This window comes from Homo sapiens, chromosome 6 (assembly GCF_000001405.40).
Source record: "Homo sapiens chromosome 6, GRCh38.p14 Primary Assembly".
NCBI classification, from domain to species: Eukaryota; Metazoa; Chordata; class Mammalia; order Primates; family Hominidae; genus Homo; species Homo sapiens.
Genome location: NC_000006.12, coordinates 149,020,823 through 149,043,893, shown reverse-complemented (window position 1 = coordinate 149,043,893; position 23,071 = coordinate 149,020,823). Strand labels below are relative to the sequence as shown.

The following is a 23,071-nucleotide window of genomic DNA, read 5'->3' as shown; positions in this document are numbered from 1 at the left end:
GTTGGTGAAAGTAAGCTAATCTTCCATGGCTGATGCCAGGAACCAACGCACATGCCCTATTATACTTAGGCAAACAATATCCTATGTTATAATGTGGAAATATAGAAGCATGGCAGAGCCAGAAGTCAACCCGCATAAACAAAAGGCTTGGTCACCATTTGGAGTGCCAGCGCCACATCCTGGCTCTGAACAAGATGGCCGGCCTCAGGGCCTCGGGCCAGTTCTCCCGACTGACAGCAGCCAGTGGCTCCTCCTGGTGGCTCTCCGTCAGATGACGCCTGTCCACATCAAGGCTCCCACCAGAGTGCTTCCTCTCCCGTGGTAGGGCCAGCCCTCAGAAAAGGAGGCCACAGCACTGGCCTTCCACACAGACTGGAATGCTCACTGTTCTAGGGGATGCGGATGCCTGTGAAAATCTGAAAATTCTTTGCTTCCCAGAAAAAAAGCAGGAATATGAAATTTTTTTCTGATAAACTGGATGGCAGCCAGGTGTCGTGGTTCACACCTGTTATGCTAACACTTTGGGAGGTCAAGGTGGGTGGAATGCTTGAACCCAAGAGTTTGAGATCAGCCTGGGCAGCACAGTGAGACCTCACCTCTATAAAAAATAAACAAAATAAGTGGGTATGGCGGCACAAACCTGTGGTCCTAGCTACTTGGGAGGCTGAGGCAGGAGGACAGAATTTGGTCCCAAGAGGTTGAGGCTGCAGTGAGCCGAGATCATGCCACCACACTCTAGCCTGGGTAACAGAGTGAGACCCTGTCTCCAGAAAAAAGAAAGAAAGAATGAAAAGAAACAAGAGAAAGAAAAAGAAAGAAAGAAAGAAAGAAGGAAAGAAGGAAAGAAGGAAAGAAAGAAAGAAAGAAAGAAAAAGAAAGAAAGAAAGAAAGAAAGAAAGAAAGAAAGAAAGAAAGAAAGAAAGAAAGAAAGAAAGAAAAGGATGGTGATGGAGCAGCTGAAAGATTCCCTGAAAGGCCAGGTGTGGTGGCTCATGTCTATAATCCTAGCACTTTGGGAGACCAAGGAAAGAGGAGCACGTGAGTCCAGGAGTTTGAGACAAGCCTGGGCAACACAATGAGACCCCATCTCACATTTAGGAAAAAATATATATCAAATCAAATAAAAATTCCCTGAAAACCATGTGGTGGACTTCAGGTTAAGAACTTCTGCTGTGGGCCACACTTAGTGTTGTAGGAACGGCATAGTTTGTGGGGAGGAGGAAAAGTACTACTGAAAATCTGCTCTTTTGCAAAAAGCCCTCACTCTTAGTAGCACAGGCCACGCCTGGACATCCACCATGAATGACTCCTTCCTTTGAAGTGGAGTGACCTGCCTCAGGGCCCTGCTGGACCACGGGTGGCAGGGTGGCGCAGTGCTATGCCTGGGTCCAGGTCCTGGTGCAGTGTGGACCAGGGCAAGCTACCCACAAATAGGGTTTCTCACCATATCCCACGGCAGCCAAGATTTAACCCTCTGCCCACACTGCTAATGAGAGGAATGGCAGGAAGGGCCAAAGATGTGAGATAATGAACCTGCTTAAATGGCCAACAGTTCACATCACATCACCTGTATTTTTAGTGCACCAAATTTAGATGAATAAAAGAACATACTTCCTACAAAAAAAGCTCTTTAAAATAATTATCAGTACATGTATAGTAAAAAGTGCCTAAAATGATTTTTTTTTCTAAGGAGCCTCCCCATAAAATAGTGACGTCATATACAAACTTCAGTTTCCTCATCTGTAAAATGGGAATAATAAAAGTGCCTAAGTCACTGGATTATTCTGATAATTACATTAGGTAGCCCACATAAAATGTTTATCACAGTACATGCATTCAGTATTAATTCAATACATTTTTACTGTACACCCACTACGTGGAAAGTACTGTTCTAGTATTTCTGTGATCACTATTCTCATTATTAGAAATTCCCCTGGGAAGGACAAATTGTGTTATTGTCAGCTGTCAATATATTGTATTCTAGATCATTCTAGATCTTTGTTCTAGAATGATCTATTAGGGTCCTCGGGGAGTGGGCCACAGGACAGTCGAGTTTTAGGAGAGGACGGTTCTGGTGCCAAGGGTGGTCAGCATGGAGAGGGTGGTCTAGGGTGTGGGAATGGAGGCCTGGAGGCAGGCATGTAGCGGGGGAATCTGTCCAGGAAGATGGAGTAGCAGGATGCAGAAGAGAAACTCTCTTTGTTCTGGTCATGGTCTCCAGTTGTGGGAGAGAACAAGCGATGAAGAGGCATCTGAACAGCGGCGCATTTCACCATGACCAGAGATTGTCACCAACACTCTGTGTCACTGTGGAAAGGATCTCCATGACTAAACTGAAGGCCTGGTGTGCAGGGGCTACCCTGGAGGAGAGGGGTTCCCTCCAGAAGAGCAAGGGGCATGGACAAGGGGACAAAAGGTAGAACATCCCAGCTCCAGGTCTCTTCCTTGGCTATGAACCTCAACAGGCCAGTCACACTTACTGGCCTCACTGCATTTGTGCTCCTATCTCATGCCTTTGCCCTCTGCTCTCCTGCAGGATGTTGCAGCGATAGCTCGCTGGGCTGGAGGTCCAAGAGGAGGTGTTCTTTGCCCACTAGTGAGCCAGCAGGTTCCAACTCCTCCTGGAGTGGATCACAGGCAGCCAGCAGTGGCTAGCAAGAGGTCCCAGGCAAGGAGGAAGTCAGCACAGAGATCAGGACTATTAAATGCATCAATATCCATAAAGCCCTCATGATGCTGTCTGGCCCACAGTAAGTGCACCATCACTAGTGTTTGTTAAATAAATGGCCCAGCTGCCTCTCCCTCAGGAAATTTCTTTTTCAAGGCCGACCTGGGAAACATGGACTTTCTTTAGGTTTTATTTAAAAGGGCAATGTTTCTGTATAACAGAGGTCCACCCAGGGTCTTACGGGGATGCACAGGCTGTATCTCACAGCAAGGAGGAGGATGTCACGCAATCCATTCACTGGGGCAAAGAGTGCCTGTCTCTACTATGACAACTTAGTAAGATGGCTGAGAAAATGCATTCAGATCATGGAAACAGAAACCAGTAAGGAGAGGCCTTGGGAGTCTTTACCTGGATGTTTCTGAGCCCTTACAAAGCCACGCCGTGGAGTTCAGTTTGTTGGCACCTGTGCTTAGGGGGACCACATGCTGGAGAATGCACTGAATCGCAGGTCTTTCACTGACTGACTACATACAAAATACAATTTTATTTTAATTAATTAACTAATTAATTGAGAAGGAGTTTCACTTTTGTTGCCCAGGCTGGAGTACAATGGCATGGTCTCGACTCACTGCAACCTCCGCCTCCTGGGTTCAAGTGATAATCCTGCCTCAGCCTCCCGAGTAGCTGGGATTACAGGCATGCACCACCATGCCTGGCTCATTTTTGTATTTTTAGTAGAGACGGTGTTTTACCATGTTGGCCAGGCTGGTCTTGAACTCCTGCCCTCGTGATCCGCCCGCCCGGCCTCCCAAACTGTTGAGATTACAGGGGTGAGTCACTGCGCCCGGCCTACAATTTTATTTTTACAATGCTTACCTGCTAGTATCTACAGGCATTTTGCAGGAAAAAATACAAATAATACAGGTAAAAATCAGATCAAAATACTAGAAAGAAAGAATGAGACAAGTGAAAATTAAAATGCTAGGGTGACACTGTGATATACAAATGGAATCAAACTAGTTTCAGTACTTTATTTAAAAAGCTATTAAATACTTAACTTTGTTACCGCCAAGGTTTGAGTTGTTTGAGTTGGAAGAGCTCAGGACTGTATGAAAAAGAGAACAGTGGCAATTTTTATCTTTATGCCTAACCAGCCTTCAGATCTGGGGGTGGTGGAGGAACAGGCCACCCAGTGACCCAGGTAGGCATGTCCAGGTATTTGTCCCAGACACGCTCGGTGAGTAACCATGCTTTACATGCTGTTCTGAAAACTCTGCCAGGCAGGAGGTCAGAAAGGAGAGAAGGATGGGAGAAGGAGAGCCAGTCACGACTTTTGATGGAAGTGACGGGTCATGGCCCCTGTCTTCAAGAAGCCCCTGTAGAGTTAACTGCCAAAAAAAAGAGGACTCCTCCACTTCGTGCAAATGACAGAGGACAGAGCACAAGCAAGCCCTCCCTTAAGGGGCCACAGCGACAGTTTCCTCGCTGCTCAGTTGTGGCCCTTCTCACTGTCGTCCTTTTTTTTGTTTGATCACAAAAATAGAAAAAGCTACAAAGCGTGGTGGGAAGCCCACAGGGTTTGGAGCCAGACAGACTCTGCCTTGCACCAGCTATGAGACCCTGAGTATGGTCCTTAGACTGTCTGGCTGTGTTTTGTCCTTTGTAGAATAGCAATGCTAATATCTAACTTGCCGTGCCGCTGTGACTATTAGAAATACACATGTATAATCCCAGCACTTTGGGAGGCTGAGGCGGGTGGATCACCTAAGGTCGGGAGTTTGAGACCAGCCTGACCAACATGGAGAAACCCCGTCTCTCCTAAAAACACAAAATTAGCTGGGCGTGGTGGTGCATGCCTGTAAACCCAGCTACTCAGGAGGCTGAGGCAGGAGAATCTCTTGAACCTGAGAGGCGAAGGTTGCGGTGAGTCAAGATCGTGTCACTGTACTCCACCCTGGGCAACAAGAGTGAAACTCCATCTCAAAAAACAAATGAAAAGAAAAAGAAATATGTATATACATCACAGCGCATAGTGTCTGGACAGGGATGGTCCCTAATACATGTGGCTCTCTGTAATGCACGTGTGTTACAGGAAAGGCAGAGAACACAGGAAAGTCTACAGGAGAAACTAAAACCATGCAGAAACCACCACAACTAACAACTGCAGTTCTCTTGGTATTTTCCCTTCTAGTTTGTTCTGCTAAGCATATTGTGTGTGTGTGTATACAACAAATACATAAAAATATTGTATAATATAAATATAAATATTGTGTCAGATTTTTCATTGTTTTTCTGTTTTCCAATATATTAACATTCTTCAAACTAAAACTCCAACCGCCTCACTATATTTCATTGCATCACTGTAAAATCACTTATAAAGCTTTCCCCAAATATTAGACATCTTTTTCCCCCCAATTCCTTTCTACAACAAAGAAAGGCAATCCAGAGGACAGTGTTCATCTTTGAAGGCTCTTTGTCCTAATCCAAGGTTTGCTCCTCACAGCTGCTTTGAACGTGGGCAGATTTTGAATGCGAACGGACCCTCCAGGTCTTCCCCTGGAAATGGGGAGGAAGAGGACTTCTAACTGCATTAGTTTCCTATGATAACAAGTTGCCACAAACCAGGTAGCTTAAGACAACAGAAGTTTATTCTCTCATAGTTTTGAAAACTAGAATTGATGGGTTGGAAGAGTTGTGTTTCCCTCGAGGGGAGAATCCTTCCTCCTCTTCTAGTTTCCAGGGGTGGCTGCAAATTCTTGGTGCTCCCTGGCTTGTGACAGCATCACTCCAGTCTCTGCCTCCATCTTCACTGGCCTTCATCCTTGAGCCTCAGTCTCTCTCTCCTTTTAAGGGCACAAGTCATTGGATTTAGGGTCCACCCTAATCTAGTATGACCTCATCTTAACTTGATTACATCTGCAAAGTCTCTACTTCCAAATAAGGTCTCATTCACAGATATAGGGGATTAGGACTTCAACATATTTTGCAGGGGAAGGGGTCTCAATTCTTGGGTAACGTTAGGGGATTCACAACACTACCTAACAGAGATGTGAACAAGTGAACCAATGTAAGTCTAAGGTACTTTGCTAACTGTAAAAGCGCTATCCAAATGCAAATTGCCACTTTTAAAGGTTTTGGGTCAAAAAGGAACCAGTTTTAGGAAGACAGAGTTTCTCTCTCTTTAGGTTTGGGCGTCTGGCCATTGCTATGGGGCAGCACATGTTTGAGCTTTGAAGCCAAGAAGGCCAAACCCTATGGAAGAATCATGGCGCCTCGGAGGCCCCAGATGCCTTAGGAGTGGTCTTGCCCACTGGCTGGCCTTCTACCTTGCTGACCCAGGCAGCCCACGCTGGGAGGAAAATCTACGGCAGTGCTTCTCCAATAACCTCGGATTGTTTTCCCTACCTAATCCATTTCAGATTGACACTTTTGTAAATGACGATAAAAATAAATTGTCAGAAAAATGACCACAGCCACGTAAAATTCCCATCAAAGCTTCCAAATGCTGCTTCTTAATTTCTGCCCTTATCTCGTCACGGGCTGGTAGCAAGCAGCTTGCGGACTGGCACCGGTCCGTGGACCACACTTTGAGTCGCGGTGCTTGGCTGTGGCCAGGCCGCCGCAGGCACAGGGGCCCCACTGAACACATTCCTGCTCCCAGGCAAGAACACTCTTCCTTCTGTGCTGGAAGAGTGTTCGCCAGCCTCCAGCCTCATTCCAGGGGTCCTGCCTGGCTGGGGAAAACCCCCTCCCCCACACCTGGGCCTCCGTGTTTTCTTTGAGTTTGTTTTCCCACTGATTGACTTTCCCTTCAGTCTGGGCTTTAACAACAGTTTTCTGAGTGAACGCAGGCGATCCCAGCAACCCTGACACCACGGCTCATATGGAATGTATTTAGAGAGGGGAAAAAACTCAAATGGAGTGGTTATACGATTTTGAACTGGCTTGGACATAACATGGCTGGAATTTCGGAGCTGGCTTTTGTTTGCATTCGTCATGAAACATTTGTTATATGAGCTGCTGCTCCTGCTACCGGAGCAGCTGCGGCAGACGAGCCTTCACGATGGCTGCTTTTCCTTCTGTCTATGAGCAGACTGGCTGTGCTCACCCCCCGAGGCCTTCACTCCCCCACTCCATGCCTGTGCCGCCATCTGTGCATAACCTGGGGAACACGTTTCCCCCAAACTGACACCTAACAGCACAGGAAACGAAGATGTCCTTTTCCACCAGGTTATGTGGAATGATACCTTTAAATGGTCATACGCTCTGCCTCTGATCACAGGAGTCTGTTTTTATCAGTTCTTATAATTTACATTTCCTCCCACAAGAAACCTCCAGTACAGCCCTGATTTGTCTTCTAGGTAATTTTAAAATCATAGTATTAAGTGTGGAGCTTCATCATGGTAATGTCATCCAGTAAAAACCCAAAAGGGATTAATTAATCAATTACCGTTAAAGGATCTTGTTTTTGTTAGTTTTGCTTTTGAAATTTTACCAGTACTATAATCCCAAGATACAGATGCTGAAGGCAGTGCTACGGTAGTTTGATTCACATCATGGCTACACAGATACTGCATAAAAGATATGTGTGTGACAGATCTAGCTAAGAACGGTAAACACAAAGCTGGCAGCAGAATCTTAAAGTTCAGGTAGTTAGAACATTCCCAGTTAAATGTAGTGGGCTGATTACATGCCTTCAATGCCTGTCCTTTGAAAAACTTCTCTAAAATGACAGTGAAGGAATGATAATTTTATTAAAGATGGCATTTTATTAAAAGATGGATAAAATGCTGGAGAAGGATTATCAGTGGAAGGCAGGCCTCCACCAATTTCTGGAAGATGAAATGCGGTTGGAGGCACGCATCCGATTAGGCAAAGCAGACGAAGAGAGTCTGAAGTGCTGACGAAAAGGGACATGGCTCGGGAGTGTCAGCTCACCCAGCTGAGAGTCAGAGATGGAGTACCACTGGGTGTCCCCGACGGGAGAGCTGGGTCTGAGGCTGGCAGTCTAGGTATGAAGCAGCTGGGACCCCAGTTCCCTCCACAGCCAGGGGCAGGCAATCTTAGGATCAGTCTCCAGATAGTTTGGGCAGAGGCTCCATACCGATTTGCTAACCCAGAGGAGTGGGAAGGAGAGGTATGGGCTAAAATCCCAGCACTGGGGAAACTGGTGCATTCAGTGAGAACCTTCAGCGCCTGTTCCCACACCAGCAACCAGTTGCATGCATGCTCCACTCTCCTACCACACTTCATCTCCCATCCCCAAAGCAGATGTTTGGATAATTTTTCCGTGGGAAAACTGGACAAACTCCAGAGAGAAAAAAACTACAATCACTAACAAATATTTTTCCAGCAAAACCTCTATTGCTATTTGATTATCCTCAAGCGAGGTCCACTGGTCAATGAGCCTCCTTCATTGCACAGCACTTACAATTAGCTTTTCTTCGCTTTTTTTTTTTAAAGATGGGGTCTTACTCTGTCACCCAGGCTGAAGCGCAGTGGCACAATCTTGGCTCACAGCAACCCTGCAACCTCTGCCTCTGGGGCTCAAGCGATCCTCCCACCTCAGCCTCTCAAATAGCTGGGACTATGACTGTACACCCCCACACCCAGCTAATTTTTGTATTTTTTTTTTGTAGAGACAGGTTTCACCATGTTGTCCAGGCTGGTCTTGAACTCCTGAGCTCAAGAGATCCACCCACCTTGGCTTCCCAAAGTGCTGGGATTCCAGGTGTGAGCCACCATGTCCGGCTGCAATTAGCTCTTTAGTGCCTCACTCTTAAAACGAAAGACAGACAAGTGTCACCAGAGGAAAGCCTTCAGACTGAAAAAGAGAGCCCAAACCAACCAAAACAGTACAAAGGAATCTGGAGCAAATAGAGATAAAGCGGGGAATAAATGAAAACGCTTAAACCAATGTCTATAATTTTTAGACTTTTAAGGTAATATTGCATCCATTCACTAACAAGAACAAGATGTTATATAAAAAGAAGAAAGAAAGGCTGAAAAAGAGAAGATTCAACAGAGTGGCTGGAATACAAATTGAGGAACTCTTCCAGAGAAAAAATGTTCAAAAGATGGCAATTGAGGGAGGAAAAAACAGCGAAGCGCATAGAAAGGATGAATCTAGAGGTTCAAGTATCTGACCACTAAAAGCATTCCAGAAAAGAAGCAGAACATGGTGGTAAAATCATCAAAGAAACAAAATGTTAAGAATTCCCAGAAATAGAAGACAGGAGTTTTAAGCCTGAAAGTATCCACTAAATATTTAGCACACATACCGAGTCATATTGTAAAATTTCATAAAAGGAATAAAGAGACAATCCAAGGAGAGAGAGAGAGAGAGAGAGAGAGAGAGAGAGAGAGAGAGAGAGAGAGAGAGAGAGAGAGAATGAGCATGAATATGAGAACCAAACTAGCCATCAAGTTAGAGTAGAATACTGAGCTTTTCAGACCTTCAATGACTCAAAAAAAATTTCCCTCCCATGCACCTTTCATGAGGAGGCAACTTAGGAACATCTTGAAGTAAAATGAGTTATTAAATCAAGAAATAGCATCCCCGAGATTAAGAAAACTGGACCCAACTGAGAAACATAGTAAAGGGAAGCTGCAGTAAAGCTGTGTTTAGAGTAATGAACCCAGATATACTAGGAGCAGGAGCTTTCTTGGTGGAAAGAGGAGAGGGCCTCTGGGGGAAGGGAGGGCAGGCTGGGATAGAGCTTAAAGAGCTCTGGGTGGAAAGAGGAGAGGGCCTCTGGGGGAAGGGAGGGCAGGCTGCGATGGAGCTTAAAGAGCTCTGGGTGGAAAGAGGAGAGGGCCTCTGCGGGAAGGGAGGGCAGGTTGGGATGGAACTGACATACTTATCTGGTAATTAATATTTAAATAATACCAAAAGTAATACTGAATGCGGCAGATCTAATGGCACATACGAAAATTTTGGCACATACGAAATTTTTGATAGGTACAAATAAATCTAGGCAAATAAATGAAGGCAATAAATAATTCCAGGAAAAACAATTAAGTTGTGCAAGAAATGAAACAAAATCATGATGTACTACTCTGATCAGCAGCCAACAAAATGTATATAGTCACAGCAACGTCAGCAGGACCATGCATCTCAAATGTGGGTATGACCATCTTAGGAAGATGGAGAGGAGCAAGGAAGTAGAAGTAAAGGTAATGGAATAAGAGAATGAGATCATGACCCCAGTAAATCAAGAAACAGCAGCCTGTGCATACTAGTTACAGATAGCGCGGTGATTATCCGAAGAAACATCTAGCTGCGCTGAAAGTGATTGGCTCTGCAACATCAGACTTCATCTTTGGGAGGGTTGGAATAGGAAACTGCTGGTTTTCATTATACATCTTATAGGACTATTTGATTTTTAATTATATACATGCATTACTTAATAGATATAGCAAAAAATGCAGGGAGGTAAAATCCTAGGAACACATGTTTTGAAAAACAGTTCTGGTAGAGTCTGGTTGACAATGCAGCAGAAGCATCTAGAAGCGTATGCTATGGTAAAGACGAGGGGCGGGGTGAGACCTTCAAGTCAAGTGAAACTACCCCACCTGACAAACAACCCTCTCTTCTTCTCATCAGTGTGGGATTATGTTGGATTTTTCTATGCGTTTGTAGGTAATGAAATGAACGTGCTTACTAGAACCCACAAGAAACCACACATAAAAATCCCCAGCAATGTTATATACACAGGTATATTTCTAGCTTTTTGCTGTATTCTTTCACAATTCTGTGCCATTTGCAAGATGTGAAAAGCTAGGACATTATGTATTGATAAAAATGTCTGAGACATGAAAAATATACAGACCAAGAAATATTTTTATTTGAAAAAGATTTAGCCAGACAAAAATAGAAGCTTCCATTATAAAATGTTGAGTCATGCAAAATGGGTAAGGATTGTACTTCGCCCCGGCAGGGGGTACATTTTATAAGCAAAGAATGTCAGAGAGCTAAGGCCACGAGCCAAGGGCCCAAAGACAGTTTTGAAATCCTTTGTCTAGTGCTCTTTCCACATCACCACATTAATTCCTGGGGTGGACAGGGACCTTGACAATTTAAGCATAAAAGAACAAACTGACCACAAGGTCGTTTTTATAAAGATCAACCATCAACCCCTGGGGTCAAGTTTCCAATCTTTGCTCAAGCTTTAGAAGCCTTTCAGCTTTGTGGCGTTATCAGGAAAGTCCAAAAATTGAAATTTGTGGTGACTAATTCCACCCCCTACAAATACTCAATGCAGAGCATATTACTGTCAGCTCAGCTAAAAACTGCTCAAAGTAGAAGTGATTAAATTCTAAAGTAGAAAAAAATTCACCTCCAAACACAGAAACACACTGGTACCTCCCCCGCACACCCAGATATTATTAGCCAGCTTTTTGCCTGGGGAAATGAATCATGAGACAGAAAACTGTACAACCCCCAAGTCTGACCACACTGAGTAACTGGGGTAGACACAGAGGGGGGCATCTGGGGCTCTCCCGAGGCCAAGGTTGGGACCCAGAAGAGATGAATTTCCCTGGGTGCACAGGGTGGGAGGGAGGTGGGGCTGGAAGAACTTGATCTGGAGGGATGATCCCGAAGGCTCCCAGTGAAGAAGGCCAGGAAGAGCAGAGGATGGTGCCAGGAGGATGATGTCGGGGGACACAGGCAGCTCATGCCTGGATCAGGCAGTGACTGGTAACAGAAGGAGAGTCCATGCTGGTGGGCCCAGGGGAACATAGGTGGTCAAGCAGGGCAGTACTTGGTGTCTGGGGATGCAGTGTGCGACCTCCTGTATTCGGTGCGAGGCACATGGGGCCAGCAGGAGCTGGTGTGAGCCCGGGTCTGAAGGGTGGTGGGATCTTAGTGGGGAAGACTGGGAAGACAGCAGGGAGGAAGAACTCAGGCTGGAGGAGGATGGGGGCCTGGGAGGATCCCTGCCACACTGTTAGGAAGCCAGGGAGCTTGGGTGGTGGTAGGATGGGAAGAGGGCAGGGAAACGGGGGGAGGGTGACACAGGCCCTCCGGCAGCAGCGGCTTGGCCACTGGCGCTGAGATTGGTATGAGTGACTCAGTGCCAGGTTGCGCCACAGAAAGCTGAGGCTGCGGATCCTTCTCCTGCCTCTGGTAGGGCCGTCTTAAAGGCAGGGTGAGTGAGCCTGGCTCCAAGAGGCTGGGTCCGCAGGCAGGGGCTGACGTGGGCTGGCCCAAGCCCCAGCTCTCCTCACTCTGAGTGCTTCTATGCTTTCTCACCTCCACGCTTCCAATCATGTTATTTTCCTCTTATTAAAATGCCTCCTTCCACGTCCACTTGGCAAACTCCTACGCACCCTTTAAGGCCGGGCACAAATGTCTCCACAGGGTTATGCGCCCCAGCCCTGTTAGTGACGGCCTTCCAGCTAGACAAGATTTTCATCTTTATACTGCCCTTCCCCAGGAAAGGGACATCACAGACACTCAGCTATTTATTTGCTGGAGGTGTTTGTTGAATTTTTCTGGTAGTTTCAGATTACACCTATTTAAATATTAGTTTTCAGAGAAGAGAAATATTTTTGTAAAGTTATTCCTAGAACATCAATGTCTGTGAAGGAAGTTCTATTTTCCTGTTAATCTTTCATAATAAAATTGGAAATGCTTTCTCCTGGAGGAGAGATGATCCCAACGCAAGAACAAATCAGTAAGCAAGAGTAAAACATGTTTTCCAATAAAACAAAGAGTAATAGTTGAAATAGGCCAAACGCACATATATTATGCTGCAATTTAAGCTTTCATAAAGTAAATTAAACAAGCCTAGAGGCTGAATTCTTGTGAATTGGTGATGTTTCTGTAAACTGAATGATGTTATCAGCCTGTGGTTATACAGTTCCCCTCAGAAAAATGTTCACTAAAAAAAATCACAAGTGTTTAGAAGTTAAAGGGGTTTACATTATGTGTTCATTTTTAATGAACTATTTGCCCAGTAGCTACAGCTGAACCAGTTATATGCCTTCAGCTTAGACTTTTTTTTTTTTTTTTTTGAGATGAGTCTTGCTCTGTGGCCCAGGCTAGAGTGCAATGGCTCGATCTCAGCTCACTGCAACCTCCACCTTCCGGGTTCAGGCAATTCTCCTGCCTCAGCCTCCTGAGTAGCTGGGATTACAGGCATGTGTTGCCATGCCTGGCTAATTTTTGTATTTTTAGTAGAGATGGGGTTTCACCATGTTGGCCAGGCTGGTCTCGAACTCCTGACCTTGTGATCCACCTGCCTTGGCTTAACAAAATGTTGAGATTACAGGCATGAGCCAGCATGCCCAGCCCAGCTTAGATTTTTAGACACTATCTTAAAGACCTTGCACTGCTATTCCCTACGTCCCCGCAACCCCCACTGGAAAGACGTCAGGTGTTGTCAAACAGATCTATTCTCAAAATTATTTTTTTCTGTGTGTATTGCCTCGTACTGGCTTAAGATAACACACTGGCTTAAGATAACACATCTTGTGTGTGTGTTAAGGTAACACACACACAAGATCCAGTGCTGACATTATTAGGATCTGAGCCTGGGACATGGCTGCTGAAAAAAAAAATCTTTATAGAGAATATCGATGGTAAATGAACCAATAGCAAATTGAAGTCCTGTTTTCATCAATGATAATTGAGTTTTTAAAAACAATCATCTATGATGATTCCTAAACTCATGTTTCTTAGTGAACAGACAGATACGTTGGACAGAGATAAACTATATATTTAATTTTAATTTTTTTTTTTTGGTAGAAACAGGATCTTGCTGTTGCTCAGGCTGGTCTTGAATTCCTAGGCTCAAGTGATCCTCCTGCCTTGGCCTCCCAAGGTGCTGGGGTTACAGGTATAAGCCACAGTGCCCAGCCTAGATTTTATTTTTAAGCTCTTGCCTTTAATGGCAATACATACTATGAATGCTTAGTACTCACTAACTTCTGAATTAATGATTAAATATAAAGAAGAGTTTTAGAGGAATCACAGATTTATGTTTTGTGATGGGCCTGGGGACAGAAGCGTGAATGTCAGTGCTGTCCCTTAGGACTTGGCGAGACTGTGAGCAAGTTGTTCAGCCTCTTTGAGCCTTGGTTTCCTTGTTTAGAAAATGAGAAAAAAAAATTGTCTTCCTCAACTTCAGGGGATTTGTGTAAGAATCAAATGAGATCATCTATATGAAAGTGTTTTATAACTGCATATTGTTATACAAGTAATTATGACTTAGAAACTTACTGATTTTGTGATCTTAAGATGATTGCATCATGTATGAGTGCTATATAATAAGGAGTCTAGTTGTTTGAACATGGGTAGGTGCACACACCACACACACACACACACACACACACACACACACACACACACACAAGATCCAGTGCTGACATTATTAGGATCTGAGCCTGGGACATGGCTGGTGAAAAAAAAATCTTTATAGAGAATATCGATGGTAAATGAACCAATAGCAAATTGGAGTCCTGTTTTCATCAATGAAAACTGAGTTTTTAAAAACAACTTAATTGCCTTCTAAAAATAGCTAATCTGAATTCCTCCTAACCATCATTGTATACTTGGGAGTTTCCAGAATATTTTTGAGTTTTGCTGCAGCACAGAAGCAATAGAAGTGGAAAATAAAAATGGAAATTAAAAATGAAAGAGAGAATTTGTTTAATTCAGGCTTTCTAAAATGTTAGTTTTTAAAACTAAAGCCAGAGTTAGTGGTGTATCTATATAATATATACATTATATATTATATATACATTATATATATAATATATAATGTATATATAATATAATATAATATAATGTATACAATATAATGTATATATTTTATATATAATATATAACATACAATATATACATTATATATTACATATAATTTATATATAATATATAACGTACAATATATACATTATATATTACATATACTTTATATATAATTTAGATATACATGTATATACTTTTAACTCACATAAACTTATTTGATTGCAAAACTCCACCCTCTTCCCCTAGTCTCCACTGGCTTTCATAAAGTGCAGTTTGAACTACTGCAATCAATTGGACTTGGAATCCTTTTCATATCCAAAAATCTCATTTTTAGGCCTCAAATTGGACATAATTGTACATCTGTGTTCAAGCGTTATGTAAACTCCCGTCTGCAGAGCAAAGTCTATTAGGGAACCTAGTGCACTTTCTTGAGAAAATGGAGAGACATCGCCACCTGCTGGACAAAGGTTATTAATTCATTAATTTAGTGTTCTGAAGTACGTAATTCTGCACATGGAAAACAGTTTTTCAAGAGCTGAATCTTAGGAATCTTACTTAAAAAAACTCTATTATCATTCTATGTCTATTAAATAACATGGAATATAACAGTCAGCAAAATTCAATATTCAGCATAAGTTAAGGGTAGTTGGCCCCAATAACGTCTCAACAGTGGGTTTCATTTAGTGAAAAGTCTTAGCTCCCTAATATTTCTGGTAAGAGTTCAGGCATAAAAACCTCATTAACTTGGATTATGTGTGTCTTCCAGCCCCTTAGCATGTCACTGTAGTAATATTTCCACTTAACTTATTCCTTGCAATTGTTTCTGGAACAGGCTATTGACTGGAATATAATTGTTCGTTCCTCTCTGCCCAAGTCAGTAATACAGAAATATTGTTTCTTAAAGGCATGAGATTTCCTTGTAATGTATCAGCTGTAACTGGTGAAACAGGTCAAGGATAATCATTTCCTTCATTTGTTCCTTCCAATTTTTTCCTCTTTCTTTCACCTAGAAGTTACAAAGAGAACCTCCAGTCCAGTTTCTCTCAGGGACAGCCCTGTCTCTCCTGTGATGGGCTTGGTGGGCAGGCTAATTACTGAACACTCACCATATAGTAAGGCTGGGCTAAGGACTCTACATGGATTGATCATGCAAGACTCACAAGAACCTATGAAGTACATAAGATTATTTATGCATCTTATCCAGATGGGGAAACTGAGGCTTAGAGGGGCTATACCTTGCCTCTGGTTATGCAGTTAAGTGGAGGAGGGGGTCTAGCATGCGGGCTATCTATCTCAGAGCCTGTGCTCTAATCATTATGACATACTAGGCCGGGCGCGGTGGATCACGCCAGTAATCCCAGCACTTTCGGAGGCCGAGGCAGGTGGCTCACCTGAGGTCAGGAGTTCAAGACCAGCCTGATGAACATGGTGAAATCCCGTCTCTACCAAAAATACAAAAATTAGCTGGGCATGGTAGTGGGAGCCTGTAATCCCAGCTGCTTGGGAAGCTGAGGCAGGAGAATGGCCTGAACCCAGGAGGCAGAGGTTGCAGTGAGCCGAGATCGTGCCATTGCATTCCAGCCTGGACAACAAAAGTGAAACTCTGTCTCAAAAAAAAAAAAAAAAAGATGGGGGGATAACTCAGTGGTAGAGCATTTGACTGCATTATGACATACTGTCTTCTCCACAGGTGTGTGTGTGTGTGTTATGAAGAGAGAGGGATGGAAATTGTGACCAGAGAGTTGGAGTTGGGACCCCTGTCTTGATCACTTGAGCATCAGCAGCTCCAGGGAAGAACACATTCTGAAGGAGGAACTCTCCAGCTAGGATTTCATCCTGTCCTAGAGGACACGAAGAGGTGGAGACCACCCCCACAACTAAACTTGAGGATTACTAAGGCAATGGGGACTGCCTAGGAATATTTTTGAGGGGGTAAAAGCACCCCATAATTGTGCTAAGTAACAAAAGACAGAACAAGCAGCCTTAAAACATTCTACATGATACACTGGTATTAGAATAATAAGATCTTAAAGACCATCCACTTGAAAACTGGATTTGCCCCTGGTCATATGGGCAGACCCATGGCAGACAAAGAACTAGAAGTTCCTCCTAACTCCCAACTCAATGTCCTTTCCTTAAAGAATAACTGTTCTTTATTATAAATAGGCCAAGCTTTTATTATTTAGTATAGAACTCAGGCTGATATTTTTATTGATGGATTAAAATTTGAATTATTTCTGTAGCATAGTATTTAAAAGTTTTCTTCTACATATTTGTTATCATTTTCTAGCAAATATCCTCAAAATTGAAAACTGCAACGTCAATGAAATCAGTGAGCACACTACCATCCTTCTAATGGGAGGTCTAATTTATCATTCATGCATAGTAAAAAAAAAAAGCATAATATTTAAATGTGTACTCTGTGATTGTTTATAAAACTATTTAAGTATAAATATTCCAAACAAAGCACTTAGCTTATAAATGAACTTAAATCCTCAAAGTTAGGATTTAAGTCACTCGTTTGGAATTTGTTACATATTTTTCCTTTGTAATAGTTGGTGACCATATTCTTAAGGCAGCCCACAAAAGTCTAGTAAATTCCCTACTGTGGCTCCAGTGTTTACATTTGTAATGGAAACGTGTTGAAAATGAATACTAATGTAGTGCTAGTCATGGAAAGTATTTAAAACACAAAGTAAAAGGATTGGACACATGAGTTTTCAAGTCGCTAGGAAGGGAGAAGGTAATGGGTTAATATTAGGTCATAGAGTTCTATGTCTGGATGCTAGGTGGCGCTATTGAACCAGAACAGCTCGGTTATTTGCCAAGTCAAGGGTTTATAGAGGGATGCTCATATGACTGTTCCTATTACACATATTCACATGTTCCTTGTCTTTCATGTGCTTATTTATTTTGGCCCTTACCACCACTGAGATTTTAGCTCCTAAAAATTATGACTAGAAAAATACTGATGGCTCACAGCATGTCTTTAAGAGTTAAGGAGAAAAAGTGTTCAGAAATACATTAATATTCACTGCTCAGAAATATGTGAGTCTTGCCCCTTACTTACACATTTTTGTGGATGACTATGGATCATTCTCTCAACTTCTCTGGGCTGGCTTCAGTTTCTCATTTTTACTTTTATTTTATTTTTGAAACAAGGTCTTGCTCTGTCACCTAGGCTAGAGTGCAATGGGTGCGATCATCATAGCTCACTGCAGCCTCGACCTCCCCAAGGCTCAGGTGATCCTCCCACTTCAGCCTGCCCAGTAGCTGGGACCACAGGCACATGCCATCAGGCCTGTTTTTTTTTTTTTTTTTTTTAGATGGAGTCTCACACTGTCACCTAGGCTGGAGTGCAGTGGTGCAATCTCTGCTCACTGCAACCTCTGCCTCCCAGGTTCAAGCAATTCTCCTGTCTCAGCCTCCAGAGTAGCTGGGATTACAGGCACCTGCCACCATGCCCAGTTGATTTTTTGTATTTTTAGTAGAGATGGGGTTTCACTATGTTGGCCAGGCTGGTCTTGAACTCCTGACCTCGTGATCCACCCACCTTGGCCTCCCAAAGTGCTGGGATTACAGGTGTGAGCCACCACGCCTGGACTTTTTTTTTTGTATTTTTAGTAGAGACGAGCTTTTGCTATGTTGCTCAGGCTAGTCTCAAACTCCTAGCCTCAAGTGATCTGTCTGCCTTGGCTTCCCAAAATGGTAGGATTACAGGTGCAAGTCACTATACCTGGCCTCAGTTTCTCATTTTTAAAAGGTGATAAGTAATAAACAAACATAATAAGGATTAATCAATAAAAAATAATTATGTATAAGATGACATATGTGATCATATGTAATAATTATGTATATGTTCAACCAGTGAGGTTGCTTCTACCGAGTAAACCTGCTGGGGCCTTGGTGCTCCCTAATTCAAACTCATGGTCAGGATTGAGCAGTGTTTTCTGAATGCCCACTCCACAGTACTTGTCCTAATATCAGCAGCTGCGCACCGGCTGGAAGAAATACCAAGCATATTCTCTTGGTTATCCATCTTGCTAAAACTCTAATTTTTATTTCATCTCAAGTACTTACTATCCTAAGCTTCTGAGATACTCTATTCTGTCTCCATAAAATGCAAATATTAACATAAAATGACTGTTTAAAAAAAGTTCTAAAGGCTAAGTTTCTCCAATATTTTTGGTAGGAGACAAATTTACTTGATGTCAGCATATATTTCTACAAGAAAGGAACAGAAGAAAAGACAGTTACGCTGTTATTGAGAAAGGTTATTAACCTGTCTAAATGGTGAGTTATTGGGACAGGTAGTATTGATTTGAAAGAATCAATGAATATCATTTCAATCTGAAATAAGTGACAACCCATATGACTAACAGACATTACGATTTTTACTAGCTCTCCAAAGAGTCATTGCTATTAGTGTTTTTTCTTCTGTAATGAGACTGGTATACATATTTTTAGTATTGCTAGAGAGGAGTTACCAGAAGTCAGCAAACTCCTATTTTTTTTTTTGTTTTTGTTTTTCAATAACAGGACAAACACCAAAGAAAAATGGCCAGTGGTGTTTTTGCATCTTAATTCAGCTCTTCAGATGGTTAGTTAATCTACAATGAGTTAAGGGTCACTAGATCCCTTAAATCAGTATCTTAGATTTTAGCTTTTCTTCTCTCTGTTCTCTAATCTACTCAGTTATCAAACTCTTCAATAAAGGGAAAGAGTAATGATTTTAGTATGCCCTAAGACATGAACTTAGACTAAAAATACAAAGATGAGATGGTGAAGTAACTAGAAACTTGCAGCTATTCTTTCTTTAACCTACTTGACACCAACTCAGTTGTGGTGATGAGAAAACAATATGGGTGCTAAGTCTTCCCTGAGGCTAAAATATATTGAGAAACTGGCCAGGAGTGTGTGTTGATCTCTTGTCCTCTGCCTCAGGGGACACGGAAACTTGTTGGGATAGAGGAACTGTGGACTAGCTTGGTCTTCAATGTTACCATAGAAACATATCACAAGAAGATGCCCAAGAGAACACAAAACACAGTAGAAGTTACTGAAGCAACAACTCAAAGGTTCATTTTATTGGGCATATAATGTGTGGCAGCTGAGAGAGTTATGCTAGGGTGATATTTAAAGTATTTGACAACCAGCTCCACTCAAGAACTGAACTCAGAACAGTCACTGAGTGTGACACTGGCCCGGGGTCCTGAAGATCCCTCTTGTGCCATGAATTAGTCCTTCCGTTACATCACTGTTGGAAAAGGCGGGGGTAACAAGGACGGGCAGCCAGGCTGGCAGGTGCACCCTGAAGGCCGTATAGAAGTGTTTCACTGTTTTAACCGCTAGTCCAGCTGGACCACGTGGACTGGCCAAGTGGCCTGGCTTATGGAAACCTTTCATCCCACTACACAGGAAAACCAGATGTCCTTTATTCTCTTTGAGATATTTACTATGCCAAACTCTGAGGGAAAAATAATCTTTAATTTATAGGTGGAAAGATCATGGCTGAAGGTAAAAGAGTTAATAGTAACTTGGTTTTCAGAAATCTTTTCTCCTTGAATTAACGAACTTTCAGATCACGGAATAAAGGCCCATAATTTCTGAGAAGACACATATTTAAATGGAGAAAATAGGAAGTCAATATGATATACCACGACAAGAGCCACTAAGTGGGTCCTCTGGGCTAAGCTTTTTATAGGTGGTTTATCTGTATTCAAAAGCATGAAGATAAAAATACCCTCATCTAGGTTCTCAGGTCCACAACCCCTGTGCTGGGTTTTGCATCCTGTGAATGGTGTGTGTTCCAGACCTCAGGATGGATGGTGATGTAACTGGAAGAGGACTCTCACGTTGGCTCCTCCTCCCAAATGCTGGGACAAGAGAGTGCTCATTAAAATAAACAATATTAATAAAATAAAAACACATACATTTATTTCGTACACTGGCTCTGAGGGTCAGAAATTCAGGGGTAGCTTAGTTGGGTGGTCCTGGCTTGGGATCTCTCATGAGACAGCCATTAACATGTTGGTTGGGGCTGCAGTTATCTGAAGGCTTGACTGGGGTCATAGTAGCTGCTCCCAAGATGGCTCACACACGTGGCTCTTGGTCTGAGGTCTCAGTTCCTCACTATGTGAACCTCTCTTCATCCATAGCAGCTGATCTCTCTCAGAGCAAATGACTGAGCAGACAGTAACAAAGTTGGAAGCCATAATATCTTTTATGGAGAGTGTTCATCTTATGTGTCACCAGGATTTAGTTTGCCCTTTATCTCAGACTGTGTATTAGACACACACACACCACACACCACACCACACCACACACACACACACACACACACACACACACACACACACACACACACACCATAGAACAAGATAAAGCCAAAAGGAGAAAATGATTAACATAAACCTTTCTTCTTCAAAGGAGTCTAATTTAGGATAAGACCTCTCCTTGCACAAAGAACGGAGTTTATGTTGTCTTCTAGAAATAAAAATCAGTCACATCAAACTCTTTACATTAAAATTCTATAAACTCTTTAAATGGCTTGTTGTTGAAAAGACAAAGGAAATCCTAGTTTCACAACCCCACTCAGGTAAATGGGATTTGAACTCTAATGAGAGCTGGGAGGCTAAGGCAGCCTCCACCAACTATCCACCTTCCTTCAGCAAGTCCCTGATGGTGGTAGGGCCACCTTGACCTTGTGCAACGGGATCCAGGGCTCTCTGGGCAAAGACCAGTTTCCCTGGGCCTTGGGACCTACCAGTGATGCAGGTGGGGTTCGGGAACCCTGTGGAATGTGAGGCAGCAGACTGCATTTGGGGAGCTTTCATCTGCTGCTTCCTTCTTTCTTTCTTTCTTTTTTTTGAGATGAAGTTTCGCTCTTGTCGCCTAGGCTGGAGTGCAGTGGCGCGATCTTGGCTCACTGCAACCTCCACCTCCCAGGTTCAAGCGATTCTCCTGCCTCAGCCTCCCGAGTAGCTGGAATTACAGGCTCCCACCAACACACCTGGCTAATTGTTGTATTTTTAGTAGAGACAGGGTTTCTCCGTGTTGGCCAGGCTGGTCTCGAACTCCTGACGTCAGGTGATCCACCTGCCTCGGCCTCCCAAAATGCTGGGATTATAGGCATGAGCCACCGCACCGGGCCTATCTGCTGCTTATTTCTACAGGGCAGAATGCCTTCTTCCATCTCAGGACAACAAAACAGAACAATAAACAGATCACTGAATGTGTATTCAAGGCTTGTTGTCACAGCAGTAGATTAAGGAGAATAGGAAAAAACAAACAACGTTGTTTGTCTTTCTCTTTGGATAAAATGACAATGAAAAAATAAATGATGGATTTCTGAAAGTAATTATACTTACGATGATACCACAGGCAGCCCTTGTAATTGCTTTGCCACATTCTATTTCTTGCTGCTATTTGGGGACCACTCGGTTTGTTAGGATAAAATCATAATTGTATTTTCAATTTGCTGCTCTATCTATTCCACTGTCAGGATTTGATACACTAGAGTGCTTTTATCAAATGGAAGTTGGGCCAGAGAGAATTCATCACAAGGATGGCTCTTTCATACTCACGCATGTTTCCATCAATGGAGTCCAGGTGCACACACACGGATTCATTTGTACCCACCCCAACAACATGCTCAAGACAAGGCTGATGGAAAATGTTGCCAGTTTCAGTTTCCAGCAACATGCTCAAGACAAGGCTGATGGAGAATGTTGCCAATTTCAGTTTCCATAGGGAGAAATGGAGCCATTAAGCCTTTGGAACATGGTGCTTTTATGTCTGAACATGAAGCTCAAGATTTTGGCATCTGCAGCTCCTGGTTCTAACTTTCCTTTGCAAGCCCAGGGAACTAACTGCCCTTTGTCATCAGAAGAGATCATTTCACTCCTTTATTTCCTGAGGCCTTTTCAAGGTGAGTAGCCCTGGACACAGACCTCTCATGGAGAAGAGCTTGCTTACAAATGAAGTTACCTGGGTCTTTGTAGATACTGAGCACGCCCTTGAAGTAATGAGGTAAAAATCTTTCCAGTAACAGCAGCACATCTTCCAACTCTTCAAGAATCCCCACGAGCAGGAAGTTTTCATTCACGTTCAGCTTTGCTCTCTCAAGGGCCCATTCACCAGGCTCCCTTTATGGATATAAAAATTTATTTAAAATCAGACATTCATATTTGAAATGCAGCAAGATGCTGAGAGTTTACCCCCTCTACCTCCCACCTTCACTTGCATAAGTCCAAATCCTGTTTCCCTCAAGGACCAGCCCAGATGTAGCCCCATCCAGGGCCTTCCCAGTCCTTCCAACTGGTGTCCTGCCCTGCTCACCATTCCTTCTCTGTCACTTTCATCCATGCTTCATGCCAAGCCCAGGGCCTTGAATTCAGAGGCCCTGCCTAAGTATTGTGGACGAATGAATGCAGGCACAAGCAGTTAGGTTCTAACAAATACTAATCAAGGGGTGAGTAGAATGGTTTTTTAATAGGAGGACCAAACTGAACCAATTAAATGAATTTAGGAGTTTTGAAATATGAAACTTACCGACATAGTATTTATGTAGAACTCAAAAGAGCTGTCAGGTCATGCCTATTAATCATCTTATTCTTTGGAAGAGTTAAAGAGGAATCTTTGGATTT

General features: G+C 43.0%; 1 protein-coding gene and 1 long non-coding RNA gene across 2 annotated transcripts in view, besides 3 other annotated features; one reads left to right on the top strand and one right to left on the bottom strand.

The window, feature by feature from the left end:
- The window catches only part of UST (uronyl 2-sulfotransferase), a 329,961-nt gene that overhangs the window by 33,097 nt on the left and 273,793 nt on the right, over window positions 1-23,071 (bottom strand). Inside the window, exon 7 of the mRNA NM_005715.3 lies at window positions 22,413-22,570. Within this exon, the coding sequence (NP_005706.1) occupies window positions 22,413-22,570 (158 nt within the window). The remainder of the gene's footprint in view (window positions 1-22,412; window positions 22,571-23,071) is intronic.
- Window positions 145-224: an enhancer, noted in NCBI's record as "active region_25241". NCBI's record gives its function as "activates an Ori minimal core promoter by ATAC-STARR-seq in GM12878 lymphoblastoid cells {active_cell/tissue: GM12878}" and the evidence as "EXISTENCE:reporter gene assay evidence [ECO:0000049][PMID:35858748]".
- Window positions 5,734-6,319: an enhancer, noted in NCBI's record as "H3K27ac-H3K4me1 hESC enhancer chr6:149358711-149359296 (GRCh37/hg19 assembly coordinates)". NCBI's record gives its function as "activates a minimal SCP1, AML or CMV promoter by ChIP-STARR-seq in primed H9 embryonic stem cells {active_cell/tissue: H9 hESC(primed)}" and the evidence as "EXISTENCE:reporter gene assay evidence [ECO:0000049][PMID:30033119]".
- Window positions 10,640-10,829: an enhancer, noted in NCBI's record as "active region_25240". NCBI's record gives its function as "activates an Ori minimal core promoter by ATAC-STARR-seq in GM12878 lymphoblastoid cells {active_cell/tissue: GM12878}" and the evidence as "EXISTENCE:reporter gene assay evidence [ECO:0000049][PMID:35858748]".
- On the top strand, window positions 11,233-16,665 carry UST-AS2 (UST antisense RNA 2). The gene is made up of 2 exons (NR_134599.1): window positions 11,233-11,369; window positions 16,114-16,665. It is a non-coding gene; the product is annotated as a UST antisense RNA 2 (long non-coding RNA).